Genomic DNA, 21,216 nt, shown 5'->3' with positions numbered 1-21,216 from the left:
GCCTTCCATGACAGTGCCCATTTGTACACACATAGTTGGCCCCAGCAGGGGGTGTGCATTCAGGGATCTTCCACAGCAGAAATATAGACGGTCTCTGGGAAAATCAGTTCTTCATAAACTTTATAACCTCATTCCAAAATCCAGGTGTCAGTTTACAGCTTTCCAGATTGACATTTTAAATCAAGAATATGTCACATGTGTACAATAACTGGCCTAATCTTTTCTGTAAATTGTTGCCTGTGGTTTTCAAAAAAGACAGCAAATTGCTGGCAATTGATAAGGTGTCTCCCTGTATGGCTAACTTCATTTCTACATGGTTAACAAATCAGTCTTCAATTATTCATGTGATCACCCAATGCCCAATGTCTAGGCTCTTCTGACAGTCATTGATTTCAGGGATCAGTAGCCTGCCTGCATTTTATACTGAACCAAAATTAATATAATGCTCTTGGCATGCAGCATTAATTGTATGTAGGAAATAACTACACCCACTGTCTCAGTATCTCAGCTAATGATGAGCACAGCTCACTACACAATCACTGCTTCTGATGTCCTATGCTGCCTTGAAGCAGGACAGAGTATCTTCTCAAACTAATACTTAAAATGACTTGATGCCCTTAATATTTCAAATACACAGAGGAAGTGTTTTCTTCATTAATTCTATAATTACAGGACAAAAATAAATGATGAATTATATCTACAAACTGAAACATCAGATGGCCCATTTAAAAATGATTCTGTCAAGCCATTGCACATTGTTCTGGAAACAGGGTCAAATCAAGTCCCCAGACAACTCAACCAAATTGAATTTCTGTGGCTAAAATAAGTGTGGGGATATAGTGCTTGTTCTGAAAGGACTTCTTTATGCCATTTTTTTTCCAGCAGCATACTTTCTTAAGGGGATTTTGCAGGAAGTGTATTTACCCTTCCTTGAAATACTTTTTGAATCAGTATTGACTCTAAGCTAAATAGTGCAGTTGTGCACTGAAATGGTCTTAGAGTTGAGGAGCACATTTGTCTATTTATGCTTAGGAAAATTACAGATAACCTCAAAAGGAACACTAGTAGACTAGCATTTTTTCCCGAACTGTGCCTGAACAGATATTTTCAGGCCACTGATTGTTACAATCTGTAACTCGATACCTCCCTTGTTTAGAGCATGACCCTACAGGATCACCTCTCAAGGGTAGTGACCTTAGTCCTGATCCATGTAATCCTTGGAGGTTCTCTCTTTAATATGTGCTTGCCAAAGGACAATCTGAGAAAAGAGGGTAAGATGGAGATGGTGGATCGACGCACATTTATTATAAGGAATTTTTAAGAGTGGCAACGAAAAGCACTTTTCTCACTGAAGGTAGGTCAATTACAGCATATCTGTGAAGATCAGCATGTTATTTGCTATAATGTTCTTTGCTCTTAATTCCCTCTTCCTTAGGAAAACTGTGTTCCCTGCTTTAAAATACCAAAGTTTGTTTTCCTTCCATTATCATAATTCTCACTACATTTTATTGTGAATACTCATTTAATAGAAAATTTGTTTCTATTACAATTGTTCCTCAGTATCCACGGGGCATTGATTCCAGGCCCCCTGCAGACACCAAAATCTGAGGGTGCTCAAATCCCTGAAATAAAATAATATAGTATTTGCACATGACCTGTGCACACCCTCCATATACTTTGTAATCTCTAGAATACTTGTAATACTTAATATAGTGTAAATACTATGTAAATAGATACGCTACATTTTAAATTTGGTATTATTTTTTATTTCTGTATTGTTACTTTTTATTGCTTTCTTCCAAATAGTTTTGATCTGCAGTTGGTTGAATGCATGGATGTGGAACCTGTAGATTCAGAGGGCAGACTGTATACTAAATACTTTATGGGGGCAACAACTGAATGTAGCCCTAGTTCCTGGTATAGTGCTTTGAACCGAGTAAATACTAGATAAAATAGACTATAGAATGATATAGGCACGGTTTTCAGTTGCATATTTCAGACCCTCAGACAATGGCTTGAACACATTTTCTAATGTAAAACAAATCCGGTCATGGGCAGCTCAGGGCTGGTCTGAAAGCTCCGTTGAGTTATTAGGCTCATTTTGTTTTCAGCTCTACCATTCTAATGCATGGTTGACATCCTCAAGGTCACATTAGAACCTCCAAAAAGGAATACAGCCCCTTCTTACACCTCGATTTTGAGGTGTCATTAAGACCTACATGAGACTTCTGACCCACAGAAGAAATGCAAGAACATATTTGTATTCTTTAAGTCACTAAGTTTGGGTCAGCTTCTAATTCATTAGCTCTACAGCAGCCCTTCCAGAAGTTCCTCACAATCCTTCTGCATGTATCACAATGGCCAGAACTTACTTAGATGACCATACCTACACCTACAGAGACAAAGAAATAGAGCTTTTTAGCCCTGCCACCTGTGACGAGAGCAGGATTTTCCTAGACTCTTGACCAGAAGAAGCGGGAATAGATTATGGACGATAACCAGAAACTTCTGCCATCATTTGTTTAATGAAAGAATGATTTGATGAATATAGTTGAACACTTAGAAAATTTGGAAAATGATATGATTTTTACAGAAAGCTATACTTCCCATTTGTAAATTAATTTAACAAATGGATATTCTTTCTTTTTCTTTGAAGTTTGCTAAATTTCAATTAACTTTTGTCCTTCCCCATCCAATTCTAATCCTAGAAATGTATGCTTTTAAATTTCTATTCTTTTAGAAAATTACGAGTTACTAATATTTGGGTTCCATAAATAAGTTCTCAGAGCCTTGAGTTAAAGTGGCTCCTACAAGAATAAAGTAGAATTATGTGTTACATGCTTTTATTGTTTTTCAGCTTCATCTGTTATTTGATTGTGAGATATTCCATCTGGTTTCTGTAGTGGGATGAAAGTTTCAGACAAAAACTAGCCTTTAAGTGAGCATAGACAGCTGGATGTTTCAATATACTGATTTTAACATGCAAGCACACCGACAATTACTACACACACAGCTGTGTACTGTATTTTTCCTGTCCTACTGTTATTCCTGAATCAGAAAGCAGGCAAAAGTGAATCAATGCTGAGGGCTTCCAAAGGGCAAAGGCGATTCTAGCTCATTCTTGTTATCAGACACTCGGATTCTTCCTCTTTTTTAATTCTGTCACCTTGTTGCCTCCATTCAGTGGCCTCTACTGGGACCAGCCAGTTCTGCCTCATCTTCTGGACAATCTTCACTCTAGTAACTTTCTCACTATTTTCTATTAGTCCTCAGATGGGACATGGAAGGATGGAATCTCTCCTGTTTCCTGACTCTCTTCCTTGGGCAGTTCTGTGCCGCAGCAGACATTCCAGGCAGCCCTGCTGTGCGGCAGACACTGGCTTGTTAGGAACTTCATACCAAAGGGTATCTTGTTACAAGGGTTTCTGCAGAAACTGTCATTCTGTTAGTGGCTTCCTGCAGATAAAACAAAACCTTTCTCTCTTTCCACCTCTCTCAGCTTTGACACTAATCTGACCAATCATTTTTCACATATTTCTTCATATATTTGATTTAATCTTCTCAGAATTCTCTCTACCTTGCATTCTCAAACTTATCCTTCCTGAGTCAGGGATCCTGACTCCTATGCTAAGGTAGCTGGTACAATATCAAAGTTGCAGTGACAACCACAACCAGAGGAAGCACAAATCAGATGCACAGATGCTTCCAGGGCCATATGTGTGCAAGACACTAATTAAGTTCAATCTGAAGCCTCAGCCTATAATTCCTCATGCCATTATAGCATGGGGCTCAGAGACAAACTTTCTCTGTGCAAAAATAACTGTTTAGAAATGATTAATATTATCTGTGTTTTTTTTCCTTCAACTGTCTACATGGAAAAATTTTATCCGAAGAATTTAAATGACTTAAGTTTTGCCTCTGTAACATACGTGGGAGTAGCATTGAGTAATTGTTATCTGAGGCTCCTCTGCTCCTGCAGGGCACTTCAGCTTAATACTCATCAATCATAATCTCACCATGTGGTGCAGTTTTATTTTATAAGGCTATCCAGTAGTACACACTGCTATTCTGGTTTTAAAAACTAAATAAATGTCACAAAACGTGTTTATCAGGGTCTCTTTTATAATTTGTTAATTGTTGCAAATGTCACCAGAAATTCTTCATCATCAAGACTGTACTCTTAATTGACATGTCACAACACTAAGATTTTGCATTCGAAGCAAATCAACATCACAAGAAAATCCAAATCTTAATGTCACTTATAAGAATAATGGTTCTACGTATTGTTCTTCTACAATGATCTTATCTTCAATCGACTGCATGAAAAATTCTGCAGCAGTAGTTTTAAATTGTCTTCAAAAACACAGAAAAGCATTTGAATATAAGCTATAAAAGTGTGGTTTCTTCACAGCACCAAAATTCTCTTGATAATGATGCTTACGTGAAAATTCAGCTCAGCAGTTGGAGTCTACTCAGAATGGCTTAATGCTATGTAATGTTCTGAAATGTTAACAAATTTTCATGTATTAGAATAATTATAGACTCATTAAAAATAAATATTGACTTATTGAAGTTAGTGGAAGAATTTGCCATGTTTGGAGATTCATCAGCAGAGGCCACTAGCAGTAGCTGGAACAGACCAACATCATTATGAGATCAGGATCCTTCAAACCCTCCAGCATAATCTTAAGACTGGTTATGTAAGAAGACCCACTACCTCCTGTTTCTTGTCCCAGAGTAGAGTTGGGATCAGGGAGAGGTCAAGGCCTAAAACAAGGTCAGCTTTGGTAAGGGGAAAGAATAGATGTGAATCAGACATGAAACAAGCTTTTTATGACCAATGTTGTCATAGACTCTGTATACAATGTTTTATGAAACAGAAAGAGGGTTTGGGGCAGAAGATTGGGGAAGCAGTTTATTCAAAGAAATAAAACCATTTCATGATTATTATCCCATGAGTTGAGTCAATAAACTAGATACAAAGGTAAAATGTTTATCTTTAAATATTGATCTCAGGTGTGTTTTCATTAGAAGAAGAAAAGATAAAATACAAAGAGCAAAGACAACATATTTCTGGATAGTGTTTCAATTATATTTGCATAGGCTTTGTTCAATAAGTGATTCTAATCATATAATAAGAAATACAGCTACTGTTGATAGAATAATATATTCATCTACTCCTTGGTAAAAACGATTTGAACCCTTATGGAAAGGCATAAGATTACAATACAAATTTCTGATTAAAAACTCTTAATACTACCCAGGTTGTGGCAATTACTTGGTAGTTTAGATTGTGTTTTATATATGTCGTTGGCTTATAATGTAGCTTCAAATTGGCTTTTTAGGATAAAGATTTTTGAGGTATTTGTATTTGATGAAATTTATGAAAAATATAAGACTGAGCTTAACCTTGCTTGTGATTTTCTTTATTGTAGAAAAGCTACAGGAGGAATCAAATTATCTCACTATAAAAAAGAAACTGAGGACTGTATTTTTAGAAGTTATGTTCACTTAGACTCATGCCAAAGGAAAAGACGTAGCTTAAATTTTTGGAATAGGAAACTCACACCTATATTTACATTTCCTTGCTATTTTTTAAAAGAATATAATTGCGTCTCTTTGGATAAAGATTGTGCAGGAACCAAACATAACAATAAACATTTTCAGGCTTTTGTTCTCATTTAGATTTAGTACCTGGAAGCAGATTGTGATGATTCTCCCTTTACAGATCCTTAATAAGTGGGCAGATACTCACAGCCACTACCACCACCATCAGTCAATATTATAGACAAAAATATTCCTTTAGCTCAGCAGGATACATACCTACTAATATGTTAGTTCAGAACCTGAAATATTTTGTTATTCTAGTGAAATGAATATGTATCTTTCCCAAAGTGTCCATTGATATAGATAGATCCATTTACTTCAGGATACAGAATAGTGCATAGGATATTATTCTTGTAGTTCCAGAAGTGGGCATAGTTTGGCTGTGATTCTAGGATGCTATTTCTGTACAATTTGCCAGATATACTATTTCTGAATATAGATATTCTGTACCCTACCTCCATTCCTCTTTAAACATCACATTTTAGGATTCATTTTGAAAAATGTCCAGGTAGGAAGATATCAAAAAGAAAATATAAATATGACTTAAAAACTTTACTAGATTCAGTAGGTTGTATTTGTTTAAATAAAAAAGGAAAGATGCTATATATCCTTGATTTAATTTCAAACTACCATCAGAAAAAGAACTCTATGAGATGCAAAAATATTTGAATGTTTATAAAAGACAATGGATAGATTGTAAGCAGCTGAGGGAAACTGAGAGTTCTGTTTCCTCTGCAATTGTTCATGTACTGAACTCTGAATTGACGGTCTAAAATATTTTACTGGAAATTGCCTGCCCAAAAGCTAAAGTTGATAGAAGAATCCAACCTTGAAGGAAAATGAATCTTGATCAAGACAAAAAATTTTCCCAGTAAGTGCAAAGGAACAATTCAAGGTAAGTAATAAGAATGAGCCTTGAAGAGGAAGAACTATTTCACTGATGCTGCCTGGCTGCTCAGGTGAACTATTCAACTAAAGATTTAAAAAGAGGACCCTCATGAATGATGGTGTCAATTTAAGTCAAAAAATTTAAGTCAAAAGAGGACAATAAGGTGCTATTATTGCCTTCTGAGGAAATGGCTTAAATTTCTCCAAGAATCAAAATGCCCACAAGTTAGAAAAAGCATAGCTGTTAAAACATGTCATAGAGAAACAAATGCAGGTGGGTTTTCCTTCTGTGTAGGAAGCAACTTGCTATAATGGGAAATGAAGTGACCTTCGGAAGGAAGCATTAAGACCTGACATCTCAGTTTACTGCTATGTGCCTTGAGCAAGTTAGCCTCTCCTGGATGAGGTTCCTCATTTATAAAATAAAGATACTAATGTCTACCTCTGAGGTAGGGTTAAAATGGAAAAAAACTGATGGGAAGCCCCTGTGCTGTGTAGGAAACCAGTAAGAGTTAGTCCATTTTCCTCCCCTGTCCCCTGCCTATAAGATTTTAGAAGGCCCCTGATCAAAGCTCATGATTAATATAAAATAAGTCCTTGTAGAATGTCTTTCATTCATTTTTATGTCAAAGTTATGCTTATGCACAGTTGTACAGGTTCAGAATTCTATGAAAATGTGACACATTGAAAATTCTCTAAGACTACTAATATGTAAGTACCAAACCTTTCAAGATAAGTCAATTAGGAGAAATATTAACCTAAATTTTCTAGGTAAAATGTACCTAGAAATTTTTAAATTATTTTAAATGTAAAATAATTAAAAGATGCCATTAAGACAGATTGGACTAATTTCTTTGGAATAAAAGTATTAAAACTTGGGTTCTTTATCTTTAAGTGTAGCAAATAAGATGGGTTTTCATATTTAATTCCAAATGTATTCCTCAGGAGGAAAAAATTATTTCAAGTCTTGTAACTTCCAAACAAGCAGCAATAACTTATTAATTGTGCCCTTGATGATCTTAAAGTGTGGCAAGAAAAACAGCCTTGGAGACTTCCAAAGATGCTTAAAGTACTCCTAGGGGAAGTGGTAGGGACACCAGGAGAATCTGGCTGCAGATGTATGTCAAAAAGCTATTTACATGTTGAAGGAAATGATTTAATTAATACTGTTACAGCTGTGAAGTTAAAATGCAGATCTGAGGTCCTATCACAAGGGACTCTTTCATATTTTTAAACGAGTCACTCAGTCCTACAATTCTTCCCTTTTACAGCTCTTGCATAGTAATAAATACATCCCAAAGGTTTTCAGGATGAGGATTGTGATGTCTGTTAATTTCTCCAATAATAATAAAGATGATGATGTTGAAGGTAATAATGAGAACCACCATTTACTGAAACCTCACAATATGCCAAGATCATTTCTAAGCCCTGCATAGGTATTATTTAATTCTTTCCACAACCCAGTGCGATTATTGTTGTGGCTTTCTTCATTTTGCAGAACAGGAAATTGAGGCTTCAGGAGATTACCCAAGTATAGACAGACACTTTTAGTTACCTACCCACAGTCATTCCCCACCCCACCATACATATACACATTCCTTAAAACAAGGCATCCATTACCTTCAAGTGCTGAAAGGCATGGGGAGAACTAAAACACTCAAGCCTGCGGTAACAAATGCCTGCTGCAGGGCAGGCTGGCAGATGAGACAAAAGGAAAGGGAATATCTGGAGGCTGTGATCAAGACTCCCATAATATGCAAGAGGCATAATTGTTTATGCCCATGAGAATATACATTACTAGTTGATAAGAATGATTAAGACATGCTCTGTGGTGGCCATGGTTGTCTCTCTTTTCTTGAGACTACCCCATTTTGTTTTGTATTGAAATTAGTTTTTTCCCAGCTTATGGAATCAGTGAGACCTCTAATCTTGAACCCTGTCTTCCTGTGGCAAAGAGGCAGATGTTGATCCAGCTGGGATCATTACACCCTCCATCACACCCTAGTAATTTAAATAGTGAGCAGGTGGACAACAGCTGGATCCTGTTTGCATCTCAGCTGTGCCTTTCTGACAAGACAGTCATTCCTCTGAGCCTCCAGTGTCTACCTAAGCTCCTAGCTGTTCCAAACCCAGTCCTCCTGCCTCCTACTTCTCTGACCTCTGTTGTCCCTCCAACACAGTGTCCCTTCTACGTGAATTAGAAGGGACATGAATTAGAGAGAGGAGACAGTTAGAGGCTGGCTAGGCAGACACAGAGGGAGGGTCTAAGGAGAGAGACAGAACCCGCGGGAATGCATCTGCACTGCCCCTATGTAGCAGGGTGGAAACGTGGTTAAGAACTTCCTCTTATACCAGGATGTCTGCTCAGAAGGGACTGTCCCAACTTAGGTGAAGGCAAAATAAATCCACTAAATGTCCTTAACTTGACCCAGAGCCAATTGTAATATCATTAACATTGGAGTTATGTCCCCACCCTCCCTCTATGGGTTTCGCTTAGGCACTCATGAGTAATAATCAACATGGAGTCACTCTGGCCAACCTTAGGCATACACAGATGCAACACCCACAGGGGGCAGCTTTACTTCTCTCATTAAGGCAGAACACACAGAAGACTACCTTGTTTCTGCCACATAAAAGACCCAAACTCAGCCCCATTTCTGGCAATCCACTTTCGGTTCCCCTCTTGCTGTTGAGAGCTTTTCTGTTGCTTAATGAATCCTACTCTGCCTTACTCACTCTCCGGTGTCTGCATGCCTTATACTTCTTGGTCATGGATCAAGAACTTGTACCTTGCTAAACTAAGGAGTAAGGAAACTGAAAAAATAATTTTTGTCAAGTGATACCCAAGAATATTAACACAATCCGTGATGACTAGTTCATAAGGAGTTTGACGTTGGAACTTTTAGTTCACATCCTCTGTGATTGATTCTGTTACTCAAAACTTTCCTCCTGAATTCTCTAACATAAATTTTTCTCAATCTTTCCTAAATTAAAAGTTAAACATAATGAACAAAAACAAAACTAAAATGAGATATATAATATACATTATATATATTTGAACAGATTTATTCTAAAATCATCTGTAAACCAAATGTATGAGGTTAAGTCATAGACTTGGGAAGACTGGATTGCAGAGAGATAATTCCTATTATAAAGTATATACAAACTAATATAAAGTAGTATGTGCCGAAAATGATGATATTCTAGAAATAGATCTTATAGAAATGTATTATATCATAAAAAAGCAAAACCAGTGAAAAGCCTACTAAGTAAATTTTGTTTTTGCCATTGGTCAGTTATTGGTAAAAAATACCTATTCAGATTTTCACCTTGAAAAATAGAACAAAATTATGTTCCATAGAGACTAAAGCCTAAAAACATCATCACTAAAACACAAAAAGACAAACCCTATTAACAAAAAGTGAAAATAAAAGCCGACTATCAAACACATTAGGAGATATTCAACTTTGAAGAAATAAAAAAATTATTCTTTAAACAAAGAAATAAGAATTTTCTTTTCACCATGAAAAGCGAAATAGCCAGGCTATTATACACACTAATTAAGGAAACTCAGAAAGCCGATACCCATTTAGTAAGATGGACACATGAAGCAGAAGCGGCTTTCCAGGCCCTAAAGAAGGCCCTAACCCAAGCCCCAGTGGTAAGCTTGCCAACGGGGCAAGACTTTTCTTTATATGTCACAGAAGAAACAGGAATAGCTCTAGGAGTCCTTTCACAGGTCCGAGGGACCAGCTTGCAACCCGTGGCATACCTGAGTAAGGAAACTGATGTAGTGGCAAAGGGTTGTTCTCATTGTTTATGGGTAGTGGCAGCAGTAGCAGTCTTAGTATCAGAAGCAGTTAAAATAATACAGGGAAGAGATCTTACTGTGTGGACATCTCATGATGTGAACGGCATACTCACTGCTAAAGAAGACTTGTGGCTGTCAGACAACCATTTACTTAAATATCAGGCTCCATTACTTGAAGGGCCAGTGCTGTAACTGTGCACTTGTGCAACTCTTAACCCAGTCACATTTCTTGCAGACAATGAAGAAAAGATAGAACATAACTGTCAACAAGTAATTGCTCAAACCTATGCTGTTCGAGGGGACCTTTTAGAGGTTCCCTTGACTGATCCAGACCTCAACTTGTATACTGATGGAAGTTCCTTTGTAGAAAAAGGACTTTGAAAAGTGGGGTATGCAGTGGTCGGTGATAACGGAATACTTGAAAGTAATCCCCTCACTCTAGGAACTAGTGCTCAGCTGGCAGAACTAATAGCCCTCACTTGGGCACTAGAATTAGGGGTAGAGAAAAGGGTAAATATATATACAGACTCTAAGTATGCTTACATCGTCCTCCATGCCCATGCAGCAATATGGAGAGAAAGGGAATTCCTAACTTCCGAGGGAACACCTGTCAAACATCAGGAAGCCATTAGGAGATTACTATTGGCTGTACAGAAACCTAAAAAGGTGGCAGTCTTACACTGCCAGGGTCACCAGAAAGGAAAGGAAAGGGAAATAGAAAGGAACTGCCCAGTGGATATTGAAGCCAAAAGAGCTGCAAGGCAGGACCCTCCATTAGAAATGCTTATAGAAGGACCCCTAGTATGGAGTAATCACCTCCAGGAAACAAAGCCCCAGTACTCAGAAGAAGAAATAGAATGAGGAAACTCACGAAGACATAGTTTCCTCCCCTCAGGATGGCTAGCCACCGAAGAAGAAAAAATACTTTTGCCTGCAGCTAACCAATGGAAATTACTTAAAACCCTTCACCAAACCTTTCACTTAGGCATTGATAGTACCCATCAGATGGCCAAATTATTATTTACTGGATCAGGCCTTTTCAAAACTATCAAGCATATAGTCAGGGCCTGTAAAGTGTGCCAAACAAGTAATCCCCTGCACTGCAGGCCATACATTTCAATCCTTGTATCTTTAACCTCCTTGTTAAGTTTGTCTCTTTCAGAGTCAAAGCTGTAAAACTACAAATCGTTCTTCAAATGGAGCTCCAGATGCAGTCCATGACTAAGAGCTACCATAGACCCCTGGACAGGCCTGCTAGCCCATGCTCCGATGTTAATGACATCGAAGGCACCCCTCCCGAGGAAATCTCAACTGCACAACCCCTACTACACCCCAATTCAACAGGAAGCAGTTAGAGTTGTTGTCGGCCAACGTCCCCAACAATTTCCTAGGCCAACTAAGAATCCCTAAGCCTAGCTGGGAAGGTGACCACATCCACCTTTAAAAACGGGGCTTGCAACTTAGCTCACACCCGACCAATCAGAGAGCTCACTAAAATGCTAATTAGGCAAAAACAGGAGGTAAAGAAATAGCCAATCATCTATTGCCTGAGAGCACAGTGGGAGGGACAAGGATCGGGATATAAACCCAGGTATTGGAGCTGGCAATGGCAACCCCCTTTGGGTCCCCTCCCTTTGTATGGGAGCTCTGTTTTCACTCTATTTCACTCTATTAAATCTTGCAACTGCAAAAAAAAAAAAAAAAAAAGAAAATAGCCCCAAAAAACCCCAAATGGTGAAACAGATTAACTTGTGCTAATGACACTCTAGATACTCATATTTTACAGCTAATGGTATGCTTTTTGGAGAAGAAATTCAGCAAAATGTATCAGAAGCGTTTAACATCTCCTGTTAAAGAAAGAGCAGAAAAAATAACTATTCATGATTGATGTAATATTACACAAAATTTAAAAATATTAACCATGACTTTAGTAACAACATAAAAATGTTTTTCATTAAGTCCAATTTTTAAAAAGTCAGTATGTCAATTTTCTCTATAGTATTATCTCAACAATAATAAGAAAAACAGGAGAGAAAAACCATGGAAACACAGCAGAATGAGAATAAACTGGAATCAAAATATTCACGGCAGTGGTCTTCAAATGTTTGAAGCAAAAATGGTGTTTCTTCTTGTCTTTCTAGTTTCTGCAACTTATATATGTAATATATATTTTTTATTATGAGAAAAGAACTCTAACCAAAAAGAACCCTTACCCTGTTGACAAAAAAGAAGAAGGGAAAGGAAAGGAAAGGAAAGGAATGAAGGAAGGAAGGGAGGGAAGAAAGGAAGGGAGGAAGGAAGGAAGGAAGGAAAAGAAAGAAAGAAAACAAAATCTAAAGTCATTGTCTATTTCCAGTAGAACAAACTATTAAGATTGATAACAACTACCACTTCAAAATGTAGTGAAATGTAATGGGGAATTAAAAAAGTCTTTAAATACAATCTGACTATAGATGCTTCTGCCATGTGACAGAGTGACATTTCTCATCTGCAGGACAGAGAGCTCATTTTTAAGGAAAACATTTGGTTGGGCCTTTGTAGATAAGGAAAGTGAGGATGTCTGGAAATAGCTTGGATTAGTGAGGGAAACAAAAAGGTAGAGCTGATTTGATTTGATCTATAAAGGAGCAAGAATTTTGATCTTAGCAAAGAGCCTGGGAGTGAAGAGAAGGGAAGATCAGGTGGTGACAAACAATTCACCGTGTGGAGTCCCTCTTGGCAGAATGGCTAATGAGGAATTTCCTGGAGAGATGGCCAAGGACTGCTAAAACATAGATGTCAATTTAATTCTTGTCTATAAGGTGGTATCAGGATTATGTTAGCTCACCAAATTATTTGTGAAATGGTCCCTCCTCCTCTATTTTCTGTAGGAGTTTGAGTAAGATTAGCATTATGTATTTCTTATGTTTGATAGATTGATCCTGAGCAAGGACCTCCACCCTGACCTTTTTTTTGAAGTCCTGCAAAACTCCAAGCAGGGAAATAAAGAAAAACCCCAAAGTTTTTTTAAAGAGAAATTCCAGGCATCTGGCTAGCCCCAGAGGTAATTAAGTAACTTGCTAAACAAGAAGGTAATAGTAGTCTTAACAATAGCCAAGGGAGTTAAAGCTCCAGGGATGTTTGCTTTCCCTATAGAAATTAAAGACAACATCTGAACAGACCCCCACTGAGGATCCCCACCTAACAGATCTGCTAGTACACAGAGCCCAGATTTGGGGGAAGTGAAGACTAAACTTTAACTATTGCCTTTTGTTCTAAGTTTTTACCTGAGAGGCTTGCAGAAAGTTACTCCCTCTAGCAAGGTGACATTTTTCTACTAACCCCAAAATTTTTAAACAGAAAATTCTGTTTCCTTAACCAATTGCATACCGGTTGTTTCTGTTTTGATTTTTTTGTAGAAAGATTTTTAATTATAAATTCATGGCTATCAATATTTTTGATTGTTTAATTTTTTTCTATTAATCTTTTAATTTCTGTTGAATCTGTAGTTATGTCACTTCTTTCTTTAATGAATTGATAATTTGTATTGTTTCTTCTTTTTTTGGATCAACCTTACTACATGCTTGTTAGTTTATTAATCTTTTCAAAGAACCAACTATGAGATATTAGTCAAATTGCTCTTCTTAAGATGGAAGTGTATATCACTGATTTTTAACTTTTCTTTTTTTCTAATAAGCAACTTAAATCTACATTTCTTCCTCTAAACACTGATAGGAATTCATCCACAAAGAAGATTTTTTTTTAATTATGTACTTTAATTTTGTACTTTTATTTTTCAATTTTCCTCTAAATTTCTTCTTTGATTTGTGAATTATTAACAATTATAAATTACTCTTGTATTTGTGGTGGGAGAATATTATCTGTATTATTTCAGTCATTCAACATTTACTGAGACTTGCTTATGGCCCAGAATGCCATCTTGGTCATTGTTCATATGCACATGAATAGAAAATATAAATTGTAATTTTAAGGTAATATCCTCTATATGACAGACACATTGTTTGACTTTGTGTTGTTCAAATATTTTATTTTGTACTGAATTGTGTCTACTTTTTCTCTAAATAAGCAAGAAAGGAGTATTAAACTCTCCCCCTATGTTAATGGATTTGTCAATTTCCCCCTTTAATATTGCCAGTTTTTACCTCATGTATTCTAAAATTCAGTTATTTGGTGTAGTTTTGAATTATTTTGTCTATTTAATACATTGATCCTGTTATCATTGTAAAACATCTGTTTATCTCTATTCATACTCTTTATTTGAAGTCTACTTTTTTTCTGACATTAATATGACCACAGAGGTTTTCTTCTGATTATCGTTTACATAGCATATATTTTCCATCTTTTTAATTTAAATATATGTATGTATTTATGTTTAATGTGTATTTCATATAAATAACATTAACTATTGTCATTTTAAAAATCCATTGTTCTAATCTCTGTCTTTAACTGGAGTGCTTGGTCTATTTACATTTCATATAGTCATTGACATGGTTGTGTTTTAATCTACCATATCGTTATTTGTTTTTTATTTGTAACATCTGCTTTGGTTTCTTACTGTTTGCATTATTTTTATTTAGTTAGTTAATTAGTTATTTAGTTATATTGGTTACTCTATGGGAGTGGTTCTCAAGCTTTTTGTCCTCAGTTTCTTTCTATAGTCTTAAATGTTAATGAGGATCCTAAACAGCTTTTGCTTATGTGGATTACATCTATCAGTATTTACCTTACTAGAAATTAAAATGATCTTTTTAAAACACAAGAGTATGCAGCACTGTCAGCCTGCCCAGCATTGTAAGAATCTCAGTTTCCAGGCTTTCCTGCCCATGAGACAGCTCACTATCTTTCAGGTAAGACAGGATTGCTGTCACTCCATGAATGCAAATTGTCAGCAAAAGAACACCTTAGCGTACAAATGTGCTATTCATAGGCCATGTCTGTCATTGGAATAACACCCCAATCCACAGAGAGGTTGTGGAAATCACTCTGGACCCCATTTTTAAAGAAAGATTCACTATCCCAGAATGTATATTTTGGACCAAATTGACAGCATAGGGAGGTTTCTATTAATCTATCCAAATGGATAATTCCAAGAAGTATCTTCATGAACTAGCAGGAGATGGAGAATCTAGAAAGTTAGTATATAAACCAACTCATATGGACGAGGAGTTTCCTACACAATGGAACGAACCTGGAAAAGTGGCTGGTATTTGTGTTTGTCAAGGGTCCTTAACTTTGCTTTATTTTCCAAAATAGATTTCCCATAGACTGGAATTGAGGCTAAACTGTGACTAACAAGGGAGATGTTACCAGTCTTTGAGGCAGTAAATAGGAGACCAACAGAAAATCTTTAGGATGCTCCTTTTGGAGTCATCTATCTTTTTAATGACCTAGAATACTTGGTTGACTGCTTAATGGCATTTAAATAGGTAATAAAATGAGTAACCAGGACTACTATGTCCATGTTTTCAACCTTGTCCCCAAAGAAATGAGATAAAAACTTTTAGACATGCACATGGATATTAGAAAAGCAGTTACAAAAATTCACAAAAATAACCTTGAATAGCAGTGGGAAATCAGAGTTATATGAAAAAAATGACTGCTGATACTTATTTATTTGTTTTATTACTTCATAGATTTGTTTCAAAGCTTACCTGAGTTACCACATATCATGTGTATAATAAACACTGACTACTATTATTATTGGAAAATCTGGTCTTATTATTTTTCATAGAGACTCCATGGAGCCAAAGGATTTGCCTCAGAGTTCACAGTTAATAAGTGCTGAAGACCAGATTTGGACTCAAGACTTATGATTCAAAATTCAGCCTTCTTTCAAAATACTATGAAGCCAATTCCATAGGACAAATTTCTCTGGTCTAATTTATCCCAAATTAGTGTATATAGAAGAAAAAATAATTTCTACCCAGTGAAATAAAAAATATGATTAAAATGACCATCCAAATCGCAAGATACAAAATGCAGTGAGTTGAAAATGTTGTGCTTAATATATTATTTGCAATTATTTTATTCATAAGATTTGCATTTGAAAATTACTTCATAATCTGAATTTATAGAATATAACTAGACATTAATTTAATTACTTTTTTATATCTTAGAAATTAGTGGTGAACTACAATCGCTAGCACAATTATTTAAGTGAGATGTTAGTCCAAATATACTGAACTCAATATTGGAAACGTTGCTTCTGGTTCCTGAATACAGTTGCCAATGTGAGCAAATGGTGACAAGTTCTAATTACAGTTATTATAGTGGAGAAAAAAGAGTAACCACCTCTGGAGGCTCTGGAAAAATCCTTCAGGGATTTTTGCTGCTTGGCTGAATCAAACATGTTTTGTTACCACAAGGACTTCAATGGAACCTAAGAATTCTTAAAGTATCCTTGCTGCTCAAGACACATTTTCTAAAATCTAAGCCACAGGTGCATTACTTAGAAAATCTGAGACTGTTATAAAGCAGTAGAATAAGTTAGTATAAATATATTTGATAATGAGAAGTTTTAAAATATGACAGCTTTCTTATACTTTTTGTAATACTGTTAAGTTTCTTCTCTATAGTGAAAATTGTGCTGGTTCACACAAAAACTGTTTAAGAAACACAACTAGAAACTTAAGTTGTTCTTACATTTGGGTGGTGAGACATTTTTGCAGGAGGCATAATAAAATCATGTGCTTTGCTGACAGTTCTAGACAGGCAGAAATAACGTGTGTATCATTGCTGCATTAAGACAACTGTCTTCTGTGTGATTAAAATTTCAAAATAGGAATCACCACGCTGATGCATTTACTTCTTAGTAAACATTTAATATAAGAGTTTTGTTCTTGGTCAATTTTTTCCAGAATTAATATTCCAGCAAAGATAGAAACTTGCCATTCATGTCTGTTACGTTAACATCTTCATCAATCCCTTTTCCTACTTTAAACACAAGCATGTTCAAAACCATTTTCTACTTAATATTTAGGCCTGCAGTCACTATGGTATTATGTCTTTTTAAAATGGACATGAGGATACACTGTAAGTTCAGTCCCACTTCAGTATAACAAACTAAACCAGAAGGCAGTTGTTTTGAAGTTCCATGATATTAACACACTCCTAAGATCATTCTTTCCTAAGTGGTACCTAAAGTCTTCTTTGAATAGTATTTTATCATTCTATACACACACACACACACACACACACACACACACACACACACAATATACCTATATATGTATGTAGTCACAATACTTAGAAGTGTACTCATTTTAAAGTGTACTTTAAAAGCATGATAAACTCACCTTTGAGAGTCCACCTACTTCCAAATAAAAGCAGATAATGAACACATTCCAGGTGACCCAGAGGGCAGTCCACACTGTATACTAGATAGAAATGGGGGAGGGAGAAAGAGAAGAAAAATATGGAGATGAAAGGCATGTATATCAAATAAATCAATAATAAAAATGTCAATAAGTCTGTCTTCTGGGAAGAAACTGACGGAGCGCTCAGAAAAGAGTGCTCTCTATGTGGTCCCCTAAGCTTTCCAGAAATTAAAAATTCAATAATTTCTACTGCTTTCAGTAGACACCAACAAAGTTAGATTTACTTTTAAAGTGCTTTGCTGGCTTCCAGGTACAAGTTAAACCAAAGTGTTGATTTGATTTCTGTTTTCTGAGTATTATCTTTTCTAGGGAACACAACTATGCAAATCTTCTGTGAGCTCTCTATCATCTTTAAGTTACAGTATAAAACTGTCACATTTTAAGGAATATTTATGGAAACCTAGGACTGAAAGAAGACCATGTTTGAAGAAAACATGCGTGGAGTACAAAATTAACAAACTTTCGTTTGTTGGACTATTTTATTAGTAGAATGTGTGCCTCTAATATGATCATATAATAAAAATATAACCATATAAAATATTTTAAAGCAGAGAAATTAATAAATAGGATTAAGAATGAGGAAATGAATAACAGATTTTCATATCTTCCAATCATATCCAGCCAACAAATTTTAAACCTACTGGTCTTACTGATTAATTGATTTTATTAAGATATTATGTATTAGGAAATACCTTCTCCCAGAGTATTAGTCGGTCTTAATTAAGGTAGCCCTAGATCGAGAGACTCATCAATGGAGAATCAATGATTGGACTATGGCTCCTCTCATCCAGTCACTTTTTTATGCAGACAAACTAATGGAGGCCCAGAAAAGTGACATACAGACCAGCTAGGATGACTGAGGATAGTACTTACTGTAGAACACAAATAACATATCAAATACAACAGTTTGCCTATTCGTTTTATTTTATCACAAAAATGAATGAATTCTTAATGTCTTAAGTAGACTTATTAATTTAATTATTGTTTTCTATCAGTGATTACAATCATTGCATACTGTTTTTAAATTAAAATAAATACTGAAATCATTTATTTAGCTTATTCTATGCTGTGCCAAACAATAGAATTATAAAATTTAGACTCTGTGTAATATAGGTATGTTACTAATAGAAACTTTATCAGAAGCTTTTAACTATTTATGAAATTCAATTTATATTTTGTATTCTGTCATTTATGAATTTTTAAAATAATCTCATATAGTAGTATAGTCCTATAACTGGTTACATTTAATGTTCCATCATATATTTGTTTTTCTGAAAGGAGGTTTGCTTTCATTTTTAAGATAATACAATTATAATAATGAGTAAAAGCTCAAAAATCACTGGAAATTTAGTTGGAAAACATGTTAAAAAGTTAAGATAAGTAAAAATATATAGTGAGATTTTTGGTATATGCAGGTATTGCTGATGCTGTAATATATTCTGTTCATAAAGTCTTCTAGTAAGAGTGGACTTAGTAAATTTTAAACTTTCAATAAGTTTTGAAGCTCTTGCTAGCAAGATGGCATCTAGTGTTTGATATCTTCCATTCTAAATAAATCTAATTATAAGTATATTGAAATGAGAGAGCAATGCTAACCTCTAAGTCAAGAGAAAAAAGCCATTGAAAAAGATTAGGAAAAGAACATAAAATAAAGCAATATTAAAGTAAGGCAATAAACTAAATTAATTACAAAACCATATGATAGGACTTAATTATTGGGACTAATTCCTAAATGCACAGGTATTTTTTAGTGAATCAATTCATAGTTATAACAAATGCATAATAAAACACATCTATTTAAAGATCATAGCACAAACTTGGTGATTGAAGTATATTCAGGATCTCTCACAAGTTGTAATCTTGATGCTACTTCTGAACTTGCAAAGGCAAAATTACCAGGCTATGTAAACCTCAACTGTCAGTTCCTACGTTTTTGACAATAAAAGGGTTATTATCCTGGTGCTTTCTGTGTTCCTGGTATTGTGGTAAGTGCTTTACATATATCATGTCATTCAATCATCACACTGAAACCGAGGTAGAGGGATAATCATTTAATCACCTATTTAGTGTCAGAGTTAGGATTTGACACCTGATAGTTTGATTTCAGAGCTGGGATGCTTAAACATACAGGGTAGGCTTTGTTTTAAAAGATTTTAGTAAAAGGATTATAGATTCATGGCAAGATAACCAGTCACCAAATTAAGCAATTTGTCAAATGACCAATTCCCCAAATTACCAGTTTACCTCAAATTTTTATTCATATATGTTCTATAATTGGCAATTTATTTTAGAATGACAGTATCTTTAGTATTTTACAATTAGTGTGACATGTATAATATGGAATTCTTGTGTTGTTTGTTTTAGCAATATTGTGTAATATCTTCTAGTACATTTACATTACAAGTTTCTTCTAATAAATTTGTGTTTCTTTGCTGAGAACAAAGAAAATATATATTTTTGATTTTTGAATTGTTATAAGGTATGAAGTATACCTTAATGTGCACTTGAGACACAAATCTGATCATGAGTATAAAAGAAAAGAGATAGCTAGAGATACAAATATGGCCATAGAAATTTAGCTAGGCAGGAAGCATTGGGATAACCAATGGCCAAAGAGACTGCCTACCTTCCCTATCTTCTTTTTGAAGTGGGTTATTTCATTTATAATTCAACTGAAGCAATAATTTAAAAAATAAGACTCTCCATTTTTAAACAAATACCCTTTGGTTATTATAAAGCAGGCTTACATCATGTATTTAGGTATATTAAATATACTTGTAGTAAAGAAAGCTTTTCAATATAAGAAAAAAATCACTCTGCATAATCTCTCCATCTCTCTTCTACTTTGCTTATGTTTAGTATATATATTTTAAATCCAGATCCACATAGACAAGACCTATAATAATGAAAAAAGAATGTTTATGCATTCTATGTGGCTTCCTAAATATATCCTAGTTTTACAAGGATATTTCAGCATTTTTTAATGGAAATAAACTTTGGACATCTTCCAGTCTATTTCTTCCCCATCAAGCAATTAGTTTATAATATGAATTATTTTTACTTTCTGAGCTTGCTTATTTTCTAATTACGAGAAAGACCATTCATTCATTCTTTCATATACACATCAATTTGCTATAATATCATATACAATATGCTAGACTTATAATAAAAATGTAGAGTAAGTTTCTTGCTCAGTCATTGTTGTAACATTTTTTAGTAGAGTAAAGGGGAAAAAAAGACATATGAACATCTCAAACATTTGTCAAACATTTACTCTGTGTTAGGCTATAGTAAGCAAGTCATATACGTTATATAATTATTTAAAATGATACATGGGTCAAGTTTTTCAAATGAGGTAACTATGGCAAAAGGAAAGCAAACAAACATCCCAAGGCTTCACAGCCAATAACTGGTGAAGAGGAATTTAGGTTTGACATTTACCAATTGAATCAAAACCTAACACTCAATTTCATGTTGAGCAGTGACTCAAGAATGGGATTTATGCTGACATAGCAGAAAAATTTTGCTATATAA

At 35.1% G+C, this 21,216-nt stretch overlaps 1 protein-coding gene across 6 annotated transcripts in view, besides 1 other annotated feature; it reads right to left on the bottom strand.

Moving 5' to 3' along the window:
- Positions 1–21,216, bottom strand: part of NKAIN3 (sodium/potassium transporting ATPase interacting 3) — a 750,799-nt gene that overhangs the window by 392,257 nt on the left and 337,326 nt on the right. For all 6 annotated transcript variants that reach the window (NR_130764.2, XM_017013359.2, NM_001304533.3 and 3 more), the window contains exon 3: positions 17,602–17,682. Coding sequence is in view for 5 of the 6 variants with exons in the window: in XM_017013359.2 (XP_016868848.1) it covers positions 17,602–17,682 (81 nt within the window). In the remaining variant the exon portion in view is untranslated. The remainder of the gene's footprint in view (positions 1–17,601; positions 17,683–21,216) is intronic.
- Positions 9,080–9,189: a silencer, noted in NCBI's record as "silent region_19238". NCBI's record gives its function as "represses an Ori minimal core promoter by ATAC-STARR-seq in GM12878 lymphoblastoid cells {active_cell/tissue: GM12878}" and the evidence as "EXISTENCE:reporter gene assay evidence [ECO:0000049][PMID:35858748]".

The sequence above is a fragment of the Homo sapiens genome, chromosome 8 (genome assembly GCF_000001405.40).
Source record: "Homo sapiens chromosome 8, GRCh38.p14 Primary Assembly".
NCBI classification, from domain to species: Eukaryota; Metazoa; Chordata; class Mammalia; order Primates; family Hominidae; genus Homo; species Homo sapiens.
This window is presented reverse-complemented; position numbering and strand designations above follow the sequence as displayed.